The 18147-nt window shown below is 40.5% G+C and overlaps 1 long non-coding RNA gene across 2 annotated transcripts in view, besides 1 other annotated feature; it reads left to right on the plus strand.

Moving 5' to 3' along the window:
• Positions 1-1781: 1781 nt before the first annotated feature.
• Positions 1782-18147, plus strand: part of LOC105369958 (uncharacterized) — a 60334-nt gene continuing 43968 nt past the window's right edge. For both annotated transcript variants that reach the window (XR_007063438.1, XR_001749300.2), the window contains exon 1: positions 1782-4509. This is a non-coding gene — a long non-coding RNA (uncharacterized LOC105369958). The remainder of the gene's footprint in view (positions 4510-18147) is intronic.
• Positions 16411-16705: an enhancer, noted in NCBI's record as "tiled region #9585; HepG2 Activating non-DNase unmatched - State 13:Ctcf". NCBI's record gives its function as "activates a minimal TATA promoter and a strong SV40 promoter by Sharpr-MPRA in HepG2 cells {active_cell/tissue: HepG2}" and the evidence as "EXISTENCE:reporter gene assay evidence [ECO:0000049][PMID:27701403]".

Below are 18147 nucleotides of genomic sequence, written 5' to 3' on the forward strand. Positions count from 1 at the left end.
GATTATATGGTGCTTTGGGCACTTCCCATGTATGACTTCAGAGTTGCGCAGCCTTAATTTTTTTCTTATTTCAGCCACTGATGCAGTGACCAATTTTGTGTGAGCACTTATCAGTTTCACACAGGTGCACCCTGACAGCAATTAACCTTTGGGTCTCACTGCATGCCTCTTCCTGTCTCTGTTGATGCGCAGTGGGAAACAGTATGAGAACCATTTGGCACTCACCAAAATTTATTCATTGAGAAAAAGGATTTGTCATTTATCTGTATAGACAGTGCTGAAATGCATTTTACGTGGCCATTCATGCAGTCCCATGGGCTTGCGTCACTCATGCAGCAGCGGCTTGATAATTTGTCTTGGTGTTAGTTTTCTTTCCTCTCTGACTCTCCTTTCTTCTTACCGCTCACTCTTGCTCTCTGGCTTTCATGCCTCAGAAAAGTACTCACACTTTATCCTTTGTTTCTGGGGAATTCAGAATATAATTTTTTTTCTCTTTTAGTCTATTTATGTGTTGAATTACATTTATAAAGTTTCTGATGTTAAATTACCCATGCATTTCCTTGGATAGTTCAGCCTGGTCACAAAGTTATAGTTAAAAAAATTTTTTTATTATACTATTTGGTTTGGAAATTTCACATCTGTGTTCATGAGTAAGACTGATGTATAATTTTTCTTTTTTAAACCTTCTTTGTCTGTTTTTGGTGTCAGTATTATATTAGCCTCACAAAATAAGTTGTAGAATGTTCTTTCTTTTCAATTACCTGGAAAAGATATTTGAATTTGAATATTTGAATGGTTTGTTCCTTGAAAGTTTGTGAAATGTATTCTATGAAATAGTTTGGGCTGGCTATTTTTCAGAAGGATTTATATTGCTGATTAAATTCCCTCAACAGTTATAAGATTATACAGGGTTTTGATTTCTCCTTGAGTCAGTTTTGGTTATTTAGCTTTCCTAGGAATTTATATATTTTAATCTATACGTCAAATTTATTAACATTAAATTTAAATGTATTAATATTAAATATTCACTTATTTTCAGTCTGTATGATAGTTATATTCCTCTTTTATTCCTAATATTTCTTACTTATATGTTTGTTTGTTTGCTTTTGATCAGGCTCACTACTGGTTTATCAGTGTCTTTAGTCTTCTCAGAGAACAAACTTCCAGCTTTGTTGACCTTTTTCCCTATGTTTTTGTTTTATATTATGTTGGTATTATTATTCTATTCTTTTAATAACTTTTTTAGTTGGTTGCTCAGCTCATTAATTTTAAGCCTTTCTTCTTTCCTAATATAAACATTTCAGGGTATAAACCTGTTTTGAAGTATTATTTTCATTGCACCCTGTGAGTATTAATATATAGTATTATTGTTACAATTGAGTTCTATGTACTTTTGAATTTCCGTTTTGGCTTCTCTTTTCCCCATGAGTGATTTATAAGTTTATTTTTATAATTCCAAGTGTGTTTAAATTTTTTATTGATGTCTAACTTAATTGCATTGTAATTAAAAAATATCTACTATAGGATACTCATTTTTAAAAATTCATTGAGACTTTAAGTACTGCATGGCAATTTTAAAGTAAATGTTTTATGTTTTATGTGTGTTTGAGACACACATCTTCTAATTATTGGAAGTAGGATTCTAAATATGTCTTTAAATCAAGCTTGTCAATGGATTGTTAGGATTTTCTGCATTTTTTGTTTTTTCATTTGCTTGATCAATCAATCATTGAGATGATGGTTTTGCTGATTTTCTCCCCATAGTTCTATTAATTTTTGATCTATATAATTTGAGATTATTTTAGTAAATATGTGCATGTTTAGTATTGTTATATTAAAATGGTTAAACTTTGTAGCAGTCTGCACTTCTCTATCATTGTACTTACACAGTCTATTGTAATTACCTAATTATAAGTTCACATCTCCCACAGACTATAATTTCTGGGAGTTCATGCAACAAATCTGAATTGTTCAGCTAGCACAGTGCTCAATTAATAATTGTTAAATGAATGGATGCGTGAATGAATTGTCCTTTACCTTTCTGATATGGCAAATGATTAACACTGGATTATATATAATGGAATCTCTTGTTTTGTGCCTAAATATATGTAGGAGTGTCAGATTTGCAATGCATATGAAGCTAGATCTCAAACATCCATATCTTGGTGTAGAAGGCCTCTTCATTTTACAAAGAGCTCATCTGCTGAGGCATTTCTTGTTACAGAATTTTGATGGTGACTGTGTTTCCACTTGGTTGACAATCTTTCTTCCTACCCTTCTTTTTTTTTTTTTTTTTGAGATTTCCATTTGGAGAAAACAGAAAGTCAGCAGATTCTTTTTCTCCCTTGAGTTAATTCAAAGCGCTGATGAAGGAAAAGAGGGAGAGTGAATCTATAAAGGACAATGGAAAAGTCCCCTTTCCATATTTTGTCTGGAGGATCTGAGATTAGATTGGGAGTTTCTGTAGCCTTGGTATGAAAGAATACAAAGGACTTTAGCTCTAAAAGTATTTAAAGCCATTTTTGTCACCAACAGGATAGGCCAAATGAAAGCTCCTTCCTCCCTTGGTCCCAGGTGTAGATTTGGGGAAGTGGGCAGCTATTTCAAATCTATTACCAAAACGCTTTGAGTGAGCACCTCCTCTGCCCCAGGTTTTATGCTAAACACCATGGTTGCAAAGAGGCATAAGACTCTTCAAGGAACTGAAGCTCTTTGGGTGGGGGAAAGGGTAACAGGTTTTGTACAGTTATTAGCAAGTTCAGTGACCTCACAAACCTGCCCTGTGAGTGGCATCTTAGATACTCTGGGCTACAAGAGCCTGAGCAGATTCAACAACAACAATTTTTGTGTGCATGTGGCATGAATCATTACAAACAACTTTATATTCATTATATTTTTTGTTCTTCACAACACCTCCTAGGAGCTGACTTTTATAAATTTTACTTTATTATTATTTTTTTGAGATGGAGTCTTGCTCTGATGCCCAGGCTGGAGTGCAGTGGTGTGATCTCAGCTCAGTGCAACCTCCACCTCCTGGGTTCAAGTGATTCTCCTGCCTCAGCCTCCCAAGTAGCTGGGATTATAGGAACCTGCCACCATGCCCTGCTAATTTTTCTATTTTTAGTAGAGATGGAGTTTTGCCATGTTGACCAGGCTGGTCTCAAACTCCTGACCTCAAGTGACCCTCCCACCTTGGCCTCCCAAAGGATTATAGGTGTGAGCCACTGTGCCCAGCCTGTAAATTTTATTTTTAATTGACAAATAATTATAAGTACTATATATTTATGGGATATGATGTGATGTTTTGATATATGTTTATATTATGAAATGACTAAATCAAGCTAATTAACAATTTCATCACCTCACATATCTTTTTTTGGTGAAAACATCTAAAATCTACTATTTTAGTAATTTTGAAATATACAGTACATTATTATTTATTATAATCACCATTCTGTGCAAAAGATCCTGAAAGCTTATTCCTCCTGTCTAACTGAAATTCTGTGTCTTTTGACCAACATATCCCCTTTCTCCATTCGCCCTCGTCCCCCAGCTCCTGGTAACCACCATTCTTCTGTATACTTCTATGAATTTGACTTTTTAAAATGCTACACGTAAGTGATGGACATCATGCAGTATTCATTTTTCTATGTCTGGTTTATTTCACTTAGCCTGATGTTCCCCAGGTTCATCTGTGTTTTCACAAATGACAGAATTTCCTCCTTTTAAAAGGCTGCATAGAATTCAATTGTGTCAGCATATTACTTTTTTTTAATCCATTCATTGATAATGGACATGTAGGTTGCTTCCATATTTTGACTATTGTGAATAGCCAAATAAATGTGGGAGTGTAGATATTTCTTTATCATATTAAGTTCCTTTCTTTTGGATTATACACCCCAAAGTGGGATTGCTTGGTTTTCTGAGGAACCTAGGAATTATCTTTTATTTTTCTTATTTTGCAGATTAGCAAACTGAGGCTCTGAGAGAGACTCTGCAATTAGGGCTTGACTATAACCTGGTTAATAAGTAATAAAAAAAAGGTAACGTTTACTAAGCTCGTACTACGTGCCAGATGCTGTTCTGTTTTAATGCATTATTGCCTTTAATTCTCAGTAACAATCCTGTGGAATGTTGTTACCATTTCCCTGTCCCCACCTCCTTTTTGCAGATGATAAAAGGATGCATAGAGAGATTAGGACAACTGCGTAAGGCTAACAGGTGCCAGTGGTAGGTTTTAAACCCAGAGAGTTAGGCTCTGTAGAACTTACACCTCAATATTTACATAAGCAACATGATTTAGTATAATAGCTTGGAAACTCAAGACTCCATTTTGAGCCCTGAATCTGCCTCTCATCTTTTTGCTACTTAAAGTGTGGTCCACGGACCAACAGCCTTAGCCTCACTTGGGAGCTGTTAGAAATACAGGATCTGAGCTCCACCCCAGACTGACTGGATCAGAATCTTCATCTTACTTAGATCTCCAGATGATTCACCTGCTCACTGAAGGTAAGCACTGTCTCACCAGCTTTGCCCAAATCACAGAATCTCTCTCGGCCTCAGTTTCTCCAACTGTAAAATGAGGACAGCATCTGCCTCTGCCCCTTCTCAGGGCTGCTATGGAGATCAAAAGGCAGGAGGTATGTGGAAAGGTGTTGTAAATTGCATAGTGTTCTACAAAGGTCAAAACCAAACAGTGAACCAGAGCATTAAAGCTTTAGAGACAACTCGACAAATAGATAATGCCTTTTATCCCCAAGGCTTGGCTGGGCAGGAACTCACAGTGCTGTGTGTTATACAAAATAACCAGACAGAAGAAATGCCTTTTACAAGCAGTTCCTGGAAATTTCTAGCTTTATCAAGGAATTTGGTTTCTCCAGTTCACTGCCTAGTGAAAATAGCTGCTCCTTAATAAGACCCAGATGTTGACACAGCCACTCACCTTCCCCATTGCATGGATGCGTTTCATACTGAATTTCACCTAAGGAATTTTAGACTTTAAAGATAATAATCAAAACCACTGCTAGCTTCCCTTTGGGATTCTTGCTGATTTGGGAGATCAAAGGTGTCGCAACAATACAGTGAATGTAGACAGAAAGTGAGGTTTCTTGCCTGCTAACAAAAAGATGAATGCAGTATAACAATGACCATTTTAGCACTTTTGTCCCCAGGTACTTCTGCTTAAAGTAGGTTCTCCTCTCAAATATTTTTATAATTTCCCCCGACTGTCCTTCTTTGCCTCATGCTATCGGCAAACGTGGCTGGTGCGCTAACAACATTAGCTTCTGTTTCAAATACAATTAAATGGATGCCCTTGCTGGTTAATTCTTGGCATACCTAAAAAATACTTTCTCCACGTCTAGGAAAAGTATGAGATGTTTAAATTCCAAACAATGAATGATTCCCAAGGGCATCTCACATGGAGTTTCACGGGATGGGAATCTGGCTCAAAGGAAGGACGTCCTCCATGGTGGCCCCTCACTTTTTCCGGAGGCAGCCTGATTTGACTTTCTGTGAGTGGCTGAGAAATAACATAACTCTTGACTTTGGGGAGAGCTCTGCACTCTTGTAGACCCACATAGAGAGACCAGGCTGTTTTCATTACGCACTTGCTGGAATGCAGGGATCTGCTATAGGTCACCAGGGATTTCACAACCCCCAAAGCAAGAATGGCAGAAATTTGACTTTTAGAGACCCTGCCACTCTTCAATTTGCTATGTGCTTTCCTCCCCTTCTTTAATGAAACTATTGAGGGAGATGGTCTCGAAATTGTTTTTAAGGGCCAGATAAGTAGGAAGTTTTCTCACTGAGGCCTTCCTTCTCCAGGCAAGGGTATCCTGTGAGCATGGCCATTAGCCCCAAGACAGAGGCATATACTAGGTTGGTGCAAAAGTAATTATGGTTTTGCCATTAAGAGTAATAAATGGGAAGCTTCTGATTTGGGCCTTGGTTGCACCCCAGCTTTGCCACTTACTAGCAGTGAGACTTGGGTGATTACTCAGATTCTTCTGAGGCTCTGTTTTTTGGCTGTCAAAATGGCAAGCAACATCTCAGAGGGTCCTTGCGGAGATTACATGAACTCCTGGCTCATGCTACTAATAATCTGTGGATTTCTCTAGAAAAATATTGTTTTCTTTCCTATGGGAAGCCACCACCGTCAAACTTTATTTTGAGTTGTATTGTTTTAAAACTATTTAAGAAGGGCAATAAATATTTGGTCTATTTAAAGAGCAGGCTAGGCTGGGTGCGGTGGCTCACGCCTGTAATTCCAGCACTTTGGGAGGCCGAGGCAGGTGGATCAGGAGGTCAAGAGATTGAGACCATCCTGGCCAACATGGTGGAACCCCATCTCCACTAAAAATACAAAAATTAGCTGGGTGTGGTGGCGTGCACCTGTAGTCCCAGCTACTCAGGAGGCTGAGGCAGGAGAATCGCTTGAATCTGCGAGGTGGAGGTTGCAGTGAGCCGAGATCATGCCACTGCATGCCAGCATAGGTGACAGAACGAGACTCCATCACAAAAAAAAAAAAAAAAAAAGGAGCAGGCTAGATAATGCTATGAACCCAGGTCGACATCAGAGGCTGCTCTCGGTGGGAGCTTCAGGCCCACCCAGACCATTTCAACAAATGTGTATGGAGTTCTTGCTCCAGTGCAGGCACTGTGTGTGTAAGGGGCTTCCATTACAAGAGTGGATGAGACACTAGTCCCTATGGTTAAGAGGCTGAACGTTAGTGGGGGAAAATAAGTAAACTGGCAATTACAAAACAGGGAGATAAATGCCACAATGAGGAAAAGATAAGGTGCTAAGAACACTGGTAGAGACCTGCAAGCTGGGGGAAGATGTACTCTAAAAGACAAATGAGACAGACCAGGGAATGCCTGTGCAAAAACCTGGAAAGATTGTCAGTAGGACCTCTTGGAGAAGCAGCAGCCCCTCGCTTTGATCTTGCTCTGATAAACTAAACAGAATTAAAGGCTTTTGATGATGAAAGTGTAGGAAGCTCCATGTCAAGTTCTGACATACTGAGTGAAGCCAGCAGAATCATAGAAAGTAGAATTGTATAGCTGGAAGGGCCTATTACAATTCTCTCAAATAACTAGGTCATTCAAGTTCTGTCTTCTCCACAGGCATTCTTGGATCTTCTTGGGGTCACCTTGTTACTCCCCAGCCTTGCCTTGCTCTCTTGAATCTCCATGCCTTTGTTCTCTCCATGCCTGGAATCTCTCCTTGCCAAATCTGGCTTATTTCTATATGCCTTTTGAGACTCAGTTTAAATGCCCTTTGGTTTCTTCATTCATGAATCATTCCTTCACAACTCACTGTATCAGTTAGTTATTGCCACAATCATGCTGCATAACAAATAAGCATACAACCGCAGAGGTATACAATGGTTAGCACTTTTTAGCTCAAACAGCTGGGTGTTGGCCAAGGGCTGCTGATGGAGCCTGGGCTCAGTGGGAAGACCCTGCTCTGCTCCATGTTTCTCTGACCTTTCTCCTTGGACCAACAGCCTAACCTTGCTTGGGATGCTCTTCTTGCAATGATGGCAGAGCTGCTATAGGGAAAACAGAAAAACACACAGGCCTAAAAGGCCCAGGCTTGGAACTAGCATTCCCTCACTTTTCTTGTATTCCACTGGCCAAAGCAAGTTGCATGGCCAAACCCAAGTTCAAGGAGCAGGAAAATGTACCCTGCCCCTTAAGTGGAAAGAAGTGTAAAGTCACATGGCAAAGGGCAAACTGGGACCAAGAATGCAGTCTACCACATTAACCTTTGTATCTCTAGTACTTGACATGTGATAGGAACCCAGTATGTGCTTCTGACCTGCAATGAGAAAACTAAGCCAAGAGTGGTAAAATGACTTGCCCAAGTAACCTGACAGCAAGACAGGTCAATAGAAAGTGTAAGGTAGGACGCATTCAGTAAGAAGAATAAAGCTGGAGAGGGCTTTCCCAATGATTTAGGCTGACTCCCTCTTTTTATACATGCTCAAGAATATGAGTGAGATTGAGTGACTCATTTAAGATAATATAGTTCATCCACGACCCAGCTTGCCTTGAAGTGAAAAATGCCCTGTTCTCTTCTGAGCCCCTCTGGTATGGCATCTGTGAAGTTGGAAGCTGGAGCTAGTTGAGGGCCTATCAATATGATGGGGGTTTTCCCCTTCTTCACTGCCCCTTCATTTTTCTTTCTTTTTTTTTTTTTTAGTTTTTTGTTTTACTTTTTTTTTTCCCACTGCCCCTTCAGAAACAAGAATATGAAAAGGGATTCTTTGATAATGGAACTCAATCCCAACCAATCAAGGAAGAGGAATCCCATCTTGGCAGTGTGAAAAATCTGCTTTTCTGAAAAATGCTTCACTTAAAAGATCGAAAGAACTCTTTCCTCTAGACAGACCCCCAAAACATAATCCTATTTCTACAATCCTATTGATGGAGGGTAGATCTGGCAGAGTTTATTATTAAATTCACCCACTGTTAACCAGCAAAGCACACTCAGATAATTCAGAATAATGCACAAAAGATCCCTTTTTTAAACATTTGAGTCCCATCTTTCAGCACTCACAGAGTCCATGTAGCATTGAGGGATTTGGGAGTGACTCTGCCTCTCTTTTTAGCTCATCCTCCAACTTCCCATGGGTATAGATCCCTTTCTTTCACTTGCCCTAGTGGTGTCCTTTCTCATGGCGACTTTGATGATGAAAATGTCTTTTTCTTTAACCTTCTCTCCTCTTTTCCCTGCCTTTAGATTTTCATAGAGCGTTTACCAGGTATTTCTATCACTTACACTGATGTTATGCTAAAAGAGTTCCTGGCTCTTCGTCTGCTTTACCAAAAGTCATCTTTCTGTTTTGCTTGTATTTAAAAAGCATAACTGAGCTTTAATATCATGAGCATAAGTTGGTGAGTGAGGTCAGAGTGATGGTGACAGTGACGGTAATGATGGTAGTGGTAGAGGTGGCAGTGCAGGTAATGGTGGTGATGGTGATGCTGTGGTGGTGATGGCAGTGGCAGTGATAGAGGTGGTAGTGTGGGTGGTAATGATGGCAGTGATAGAGGTGGTAGTAGTGGTAGTGGTGGCAATGGTGATGGTGGAGGTGGTGGTGGTGATGGTGGTGGTCATGGTGGTGGCGATGGTGGTGGTGGTGGTGATAATGATTGTGGTGGTGATGGCAGTGGTGGCGACGGCAGTGGTGATGGTGGTTGTGGTGGTGGTTGTAATGGTGGCAGTGGTGGCAATGGCAGTGGTGATGGTGGTTGTGGTGGTGGTTGTAATGGTGGCAGTGGTTGTGATGGTGGCGGTGATGGTGAGGTGGTGGTGGTGATGGTGATGGTGGTAGAGGTGAAGGATTTAGTGGAGGTGGTGGTGGTGATTTTCATAATGAGTGAGGTTGTTGGTAGTGGGGTGGTTCATTTGCATCATTGATTAGTAATAAACTTAGTGGGGCAATAAACTCCGACCTTACCTACTTCCACAATGTAGTTCATGGTTTTGTTTTCACACTGTGTCACTTAAAAACCAGCACTCTCAACAACAGAGTAATTTGTTGTTACTAGCTATACCTTTAACTACAGTCAATGCTGTCCACAAATTTAATTGAAAAATTATCGGAAAGTCGTCACTTTGGGATGATTTGCTTGGGGATCAGCTTCCTTATTTTACATATCTGAGTTTCTGTTTCTTCATGTTAAATCTGGCCTCAACTCCCTCAGAACAAACCAGATAATGCTTGTGAAAACCCACAGAAATAATAACATCTACTATTTGTTTAGTATTACTCAATGATAATATTGAGAAGTTCACCTACATTACTGGTAATTCGGAAAACGATTCTGCAGGCATTGTTTTGTATTATTTACTTTTATTGCCTCAATTCAGAAAGGATTTACAAGCTTAGGAGTATATCTAAAATACATAAAATGGTACTATGGAAAAACAAAACAAAACAAGAATATAGATTAATGTGGAGCCAGCAAAAAGACTGAAAAGTCCAGGCTAATGACATCCTATTTCCAGGGCCCCAAACTGGGCCCTTGAATTTCTAGCAGCCATTTTGAAAAGGAAACTGTCAGTTACACAAGTCATCTTCCTTAAGAAAAAAGCCTGCTTGTTGTTTGGTAGATCAACGTCCATACTACCCAAAGCGAACTATGGATTTAATGAAATCTGTATCAAAATGCTAATAGTATTCTTCATAGAAATAGAAAAAAAGCCCTAAAATTGGCATGAAATCCACAAAAGACCCTCAATTATCAAAGCAATCTTGAACAAAAATGGGCAAAGCTGGGAGGTGTCATACTACCAAACTTCAAAATATATTACAAAACTATAGTAACCGAAACAGCATGGTACTGGTATAAAAACAGACACATAGACCAATGAAACAGAACAGAGAGCTCAGAAATAAATCTACACACTTACAGTCAACTGATTTTTGACAAAGATTCCAAGAACACCTGGTGAAAGAACAATTTCTTCAATAAATGGTGTTGAGAAAACTAGATATCCACATGCAGAAGAATAACATTTTCTTTTAAATATAATTTGTTTTTAGACACAGAGTTTCACTCTATTGCCCAGGCTGGAGGGTAGTGGTACAATCACAGCTCACTGTGACCTTGAAATCTTGGGCTCAAGCAATCCTCCCACCTCAGCTTCTGGAGTAGCTGAGACTACAGGTGCACACCATCACACTTGGCTAAAGACAACTTTTTTTTTTTTGTAGAGATGAGGTTTCTATATGTTGCTCAGTCTGGTATCAAACTCATGGTCTCCTCATTTCAAGTGTGAACCACTGTGCCCAGCCCCAGAAGAATGAAGTTACTCTTGTCTTGCACCATATGCAAAAGTCAACTCAAAATGCATTAAAAACTTAAATGTAAGACTCCAAACTATGAAACTACTAGAAGAAACATGGGGGAAACTCTCCATGACATTGATCTTGGCAATGATTCTTTCGATATAACCTCAAAAGCAAAGGCAACAAAAGCAAAAACATCACATGAAAAAGCTTCTGCACAGCAAAGGAAACAATTAACAGAGTGAAAAGACATACTATAGCATGGCAGAAAATATTTTCAAACTATACATTCAGCAAACGTTAATATCAATATATAAGAAACTAAAACAACTCAATAGCAAGAAAATATATTACCCCATTAAAGAATGGACAAGACTTGAATAAACATTTTCCAGAGAGACAAGCTATAGAATGGGAGAAAATATTTTCAAACTATATCAACCAACAGTAAATATTAATATATAAAGAACTAAAACAACTCAATAGCAAGAAAATACATTACCCCATTAAGGGACAAAAGACTTGAATAAACATTTCCCATAACAAGATATACAAATGGCCAACAGGTGTAGTCATGCACTGCAGAACAGTGTTTCAGTTAGTGACAGTACTCCATATATGATGGTGGTCCCATAAGGTTATTGTAGAGCTGAAAAATTCCTATCGCCTAGTGAGTGCAGTAGCTGTGGTAACATCATAGTGCAATGCATTACTCATGTGTTTGTGATGATACTGGTGTAAACAAACCTACTGCACTGCTAATCATATAAGCATAGCAAATACAGTTATACACAGTACATAATACTCGATATAAATGAGTTTTTCACTGGTTTATGTATTTATTGTACTACACTTTCTTATCATTATTTTAGCAGGTACTTCCTCTACTTATTAAAAAAAAGTTCACTGTAAAGTAGCCCCAGGCAGGTCCTTCAGGGGGTATTCTAGAAGAAGGCATTGCTATTACAGGAGATGACAGCTCCATGGGTGTTATTGACCTGAATACCTTCCAGTGAGGCAAGATGTGGAGGTGAAAGACAGTGATATTGATGATCTCAACACTGTAAGGCCTAGGCTAATGTATGTGCTTGTGTCTTAGGTTTAACAAAAAAGTTTAAAAAGTTAAGAAAAGTAAAAAATTTTAAAAATAGAAAAAAGTGTATAGAATAAAGATAAAAGCATATAGATATACAGAAAATATTTTAATACAGCTGGACAATGTGTGCTTTAAAGTTAAGTGTTAAAAAAAGTGTTATTACAAGAGTCAAAAAGTTAAAAAATTTAAAAAGTTTATAAAATAAAACTGTTACAATAAACTGACGTTAATTTATTACTGAAGGAAGAAAATATTTTTAAATAAATCTAGTATAGCCTAAGTGTGCAGTGCTTTTAAAGTCTACAGTAGTGTTCAGTAATGTCCTAGGCCTTCACATTCACTCACCACTCACTCACCCACTCACCCAGAGCAACATCCAGTTCTGCAAGCTCCATTCATGGTAAGTGCCCTATACAGGTGTACCATTTTTGAATCTTTTATACTGTATTTTTACTGTATCTTTTGTATGTTTAGATGTACAAATACTTAACACTGTGCTACAGTTGCCTACAGTGTTCAGTACAGTAACATGCTGTACAGGTTTGTAGCCTAAGAACGGTAGGCTCTACCATATAGCCTAGGTAATGATTCTTGAATAGACATTTTCCAAAAGAAGACATGCAAGACTACTAGGTGTGTGATAGGCTATCCCATCTAGGTTTGTATAAGTACACTCTGTGATGTTCACATAATGATGAAATTACCTAAGGACGGATTTCTCAGAATGTATCCCCACCATTAAGCAATACATGGCCGTATATGAAAAAATGGTCAACATCACTAATCATCAGGGAAATACAAATCAAAACCACAATGAGATCTTGTGTCCGGAATTGGTTCTTTCTGGTAGGTTCTTGGTCCTGCTGACTTCAAGAATGAAGCCGCGGACCCTCGTGGTGAGTATTACAGTTCTTAAAGATGGTGTGTCTGGAGTTTGTTCCTTCAGATACTCAGATGTGTCCGGAGTTTCTTCCTTCCCGTGGGTTTGTGGTCTCGCTTGACTTCAGGAATGAAGCCGCAGACCTTTGCAGTGAGTGTTACAGCTCTTAAGGGTGGCGCATCTGGAGTTGTTTGTTCCTCTGGGTGGGTTCGTGGTCTTGCTGACTTCAGGAGTGAAGCTGCAGACCTTCGCAGCTCATAAAGGTAGTGCGGGCCCAAAGAGTGAGCAGCAGCAAGATTTATTGTGAAGAGCGAAAGAACAAAGCTTCCACAGGGTGGAAGGGGACCAGAGGGTGTTGCCACTGCTGGCTTTGGTGGCCAGCTTTTATTCCCTTATTTGGCCCCGCCACGTCCTGCTGATTGGTCCATTTTACAGAGCGCTGATTGGTCCATTTTACAGAGTGCTGATTGGTCCATTTTTACAGAGTGCTGACTGGTGCGTTTACAAACCTTTAGCTAGACACAGAGTGCTGATTTGTGTGTTTACAATCCTTTAGCTAGACAGAAAAGTTCTCCAAGTCCCAACCTGACCCAGAAGCCCAGCTGGCTTCACGTCTCAATCTTATCCTACTACTGTTAGAATAGATATAATAAAAAGAGGTATATGTTGGTGAAGGTGTGGAGAAAGGGAACTTTTACACACTGTTGGTCGGAATGTAAATTAGTACAGCCATTATGGAAAACAGTATGGATGTTCCTCAAAAAATGAAAAATAGAGCTTCCATATGAATTCAGCGATCCCAGTGAATTTGGGTATATATCCAAAAGAAATAAAATTAGTATGCAGAAGTGATATCTGCACTTCCATGTTTATTACAGCAATATTCACAATAGCCAAGACACGGAACCATGGGGGGATGTCAGGACCAAACCAACCTGTATGTCCATCAATGGGTGAATGGATAAATAAAATGTGTTACATATACACAATAGAATACAATTCAGCCACAAAAAAGAACAAAATTCTGTCATTTGGGACAACATGGATGAACCTGGAGAATATTATGTTAAGTGTAATAAGCCAGGCATAGAAAGACACTACAACATGACTATATGTGGAATCTAAAAATGCTGTTCTCATAGAAGGACAAGTATTTGGGTGGTGAGTGGGACCCCCTCCCTAACCATCCAAGCCTCTGGTATGGGAAGGTTCCCCATCCATGTGGATGGGGAGATATTGGTCAAGGGATATATTTATAGGGAGACATTTATAGTTAGACAGGAGGAAAAAATATTCAGAATAGACAATATATAGAGACAGAAAGTTAGTCAGTGATTGCCTGGGGCTGGGAGAGGGAGGGAGAGGATAGCTAAGGCAGGGAGAGAAATTGGGAGTGACTGCTAATGGTTATGGAGTGTCTTTCTCAGGTGATGAAAATGCTCTAAAATTGATGTTTGCGAAACTCTGCAAATATCCTAAAAACCATTGGATTGTACACTTTTAATGGGTGAATTGTATAGTATGTGAATTATATCTTACCAAAGCTGTCTTTAAAAAAAATTCCTGTAGGTTACCTAAAGGCCACCTTCCCAGTGGTGGGGGAGCCGAACCAAAGCCTCTCTGTCTTCAGCACCTGTGCTTTTCACCCTATCACTGCTTCATGTTCCTGTTCTTCCACTCTGGAAGTGCAGCAGGTTCTATAGACAAAGGCAAAATGGGGGCAGGTTTTTACTGTTTTTTAAACAGAAGCTCCTAGCCAGCTGACATATGTATTGCAAGCATTCCCAAATCTGTAAGAGGTTGGGGTGCTTAGGATTTGTTCTCAAGCTTGAGTAAGAGATATGCAGGCACCATCCCTGCTGCTTTCTGATTTGTGGCTTAACAGTCTCTCCCTCCTCATACAGCGCCCCCTTCCCAAAAGCTCGTTGCTGGAGAAGGCTCAGGGCTGGGGGAGAGTGCAGAGGGTGAGGCCGTGGGAGTGGCAGGAAATGGGAGCGAAAGAAAGGGACTTCACTCTCTCTCCATTCCCAGGGATTTAGATGCTTAGATGCCTTTCACACTCATCTCTGGAAATCCTAACACTCACTTAGGAGAGAAGACTGGAACCTGATTGTTACACCTGGGTGAGGTGTGAAGGCACAGGCTGAATGATGCCTTAGCAGATAAGAAGGTGAACCAAGGGGGTGGGAGGCTCCAGTGCTCTGGCTCAGTGTCTCCTTGTTTAGAATTATTTCTCTGAGACATGATATATAATCTCCAGGCTGTATTCATCTGTCAGCTTGAGATGAGGGAAAATGCTCATGTTTTATGTGCTGATTTAATTGTATCCTTCTCTGATGCCCTTGTTTGGGATGTGCTGGTTGAGAGGGGAGTGGCCTGCGCAGTGGCGTTTGCCAGGGAATTACTGTGTGCCAGGCACCAAGCACATCATTTTTGTGCATCGCCTTCTTTGCTTCTCATCACAGTTACTATGATTATGCCCAAGTGTGCCTAAGGAAAAGTGAGATATAGGGAGGCTAATGTCACATGGTACAAATGTGGCAAGGCCAAGATTTGAACCCAAGATTGTCTGATTCTGGAACTCACAGGCTGACCCACGGGTTTATGTAGGCTCATTCCAGTATAGAAGCAGCAGGTTGGTGCAGTACAGGAGTCAGCACCTTCTGTTTGATGGTGGCTCTGCCAAAGAGAGCTGTGGGATCATTGGTAAGGTTGTGATCACTCCAGGACTCATATTTTTCAACTGTAAGTTGATTGTTGGTCTAGATATTCTCCAAGGTACCATCTAGACAAGAGGGTTGGTGATTCTACGCTGATGTCTACAAACAAGAGCTGGAAGAAATGATGATCTTTTTTTTTTTTTTAAATGGACTTTGCTCTTAGAAGGAGGCATTGGCTTTGAGATTAGGACTCTAATCTCATTTAGGAGGCTAATTTTCAGCATGGAGTTGTACAGGTTTTGGGGCCTTTGGAACAGAGTTCAAATCCTGGCTCCACCATATGTTTTCTGCAAGTCACTCAATCTCTCTGATCTTTAGCTTCCTGGTTGGTAAGATGAGGACAATAAAACCTTCCCTACTGAGGATGCATGAATATCTCAGCTATATTCATTGTATTGTGTTCTCCTTGAGGGTGGGGTCATGCCTTATGTATTTCTGGCAGGCATGGGGTTGAGTTGAATTGATTTTAAGAGGGAATAAAAAGCAAGTTGCTCTCTATAGACAAACCAGGCGTGTCTCTCCTTTGTTCAATGTGCCAGGGGGCAGGGACTCATTTCCCAGCCCCAGTATCTCCCACTGGCCAGGTTTTTGTCCTGTCCTGAGATCTCCCATGCAGTTCCAGGGAACTGTCATTTTCCACTACACCAGCTGGATAATACTCAAGCAAAGGTGTATGGGCATATGGTGTCTCTGGCTTTGGGCATGGAAGAAGGATTTGTGATGGGCTAGTTTTTCTTCTTTGGCCTCCTTGCTTCTACCCATTCCCCCTTCCACATAGGCATGTACACACTGGCTTACCTAGGTGGGTTTTTATCTCTGGATTTCCCATGTTGAGATGTCGTTTTGGGAGACAGCCGGCTCTGAAGTCAGACACACCATGGTTGGATCCTGGCAATTCCTGACATGCCTCTATGAGCCTCGGTTTCCTCGACCATGAAAGGAGATAGTAATAGCACTTGCTTCCCTGGGCTGTTGTGAAGATTAAATGAAGTTCAGCACAAGGCAAGGACTCCATAAGTGATACCAGTTTTACTTTTGTTTTGGCTCCACTCTGCCTGTCCTTAGCGCCCCCTGGCCACTAAACACAGAGTGATGGGGAGAAAAGGAATCAGAGCCCTACACTTCCTTCGGCTGTGCCAGTTATTCCGGCCTATGCTGCTGAATTTGAAGCTAAACTCAGAAATCTGCACTCTGTAAACATATCTATGACTTTAACTAGAACCACTGGTGTTTCGGACCAGAAATGGACTTAGTGATCGTAGATTCTGATCTCCTCCATTTGGAGTTGGTGGAAAATGAGTGAGAGAACATCCCTGCTTCCCTGCCAAAACCAGTGGTTTAAATAAGGTACAAGTTTATTTTTTCATATAAACATTGGTAGCCTAGGGCTGAAATGATGGACCCATGATCAGCAATGAACGAAGGCTCTATCCATTTTGTTGCCCTGTCCTCCTTAATCCAAGAGTTCTACTTTGTGGTCCAGGGTGGCGGCTCTAGCTCCAGCCATCATAACTTCAGTCCAGCTCACAGGAAAGAGAAAAAGAAAAGAAATTGGAAGAAGCATTGCATTTAAGAATACATCATGAAAGTTACACAAGCCATATCATAAGTACATAAGGATTTACACACCTAAGGATGACACAAGTCATATCCTTTTATATTCTATTGGTTAGAACTTTGTTATATACATCCATAGTTAACAGCGAGGGAACTCAGGGAATGTAGTATTTATTCTGGTGGCTATGTGCCCAATCAAGATTTGGAGGTTCTATTATGGAGGAATGAAGGGAAAATGCATCTAAGGAGACCATCAAAAGGCTCTGCCACACAGGTGACACAACTGCTTTACCCCCTCAATCTGTGTTCTTTCTATAGCATTCGCAAGGTTTTTTTAAAAATTAAAAAAATGTTTTTTAAGATGAAGTCCTGTTATATATCGCCAAGTTGCTCTCCAACTCCTGGGCTCAAGCAATCCTCCTACTTCAACCTCCTGAGTACTGGGACTACAGGTGCGCTACTGTGCCCAGCTACTTTTATTCATTTTTTGTTTTTTTAGAGACAGGGTTTCACTATGTTGCCCAGGTTGGCCTTGAACTCCTGGCCTCAAGCATTCCTCCTCCCTCAGTCTCCCAAGTAGCTGCGACTACAGGTGCATGCCACTGAGTCCAACTGCATTGCAAGTCTAGATTAAATTTCCCTTAGGTTCTTAATAAAATTTCTTGAAAATTCTGATCACAAAGATGGCACCTGGCAAGTTCCCGACCCAGGCAAGTTGGCTGGAGCACAGGCAGAGAGCTTGCGGGAATACAGTGGGGAGAGCACCCAGGCCACACTGATGCCTCTGTCAGACTGGGCCCCTTATGTTAAGGAAGACTGTGTCGATCCTTGGAGGGCAGAGAAACCATACTGTCCACCACTGAGGCAACAGGGAGAAATGAGATTGAGCTGTGCTAAGAGAAAAGAACGAGAGCTTCTGGGAAAACTCAGATACTTGTAAAAATTCCACCTAACCTGGGATGTAAGGTGATGTGCTGCTAAGATGGGTGAGTAGCTCAAGCTTCAGCAGGCAGCCAAAGCAGTCCTAGTCCCCTAAAACAGTGCCCCAGAACTCTGGGCAAAGCCATCGGAAGAGGGCCTGAACCCAGAATT

The sequence above is a fragment of the Homo sapiens genome, chromosome 12 (assembly GCF_000001405.40).
Source record: "Homo sapiens chromosome 12, GRCh38.p14 Primary Assembly".
NCBI lineage: Eukaryota > Metazoa > Chordata > Mammalia > Primates > Hominidae > Homo > Homo sapiens.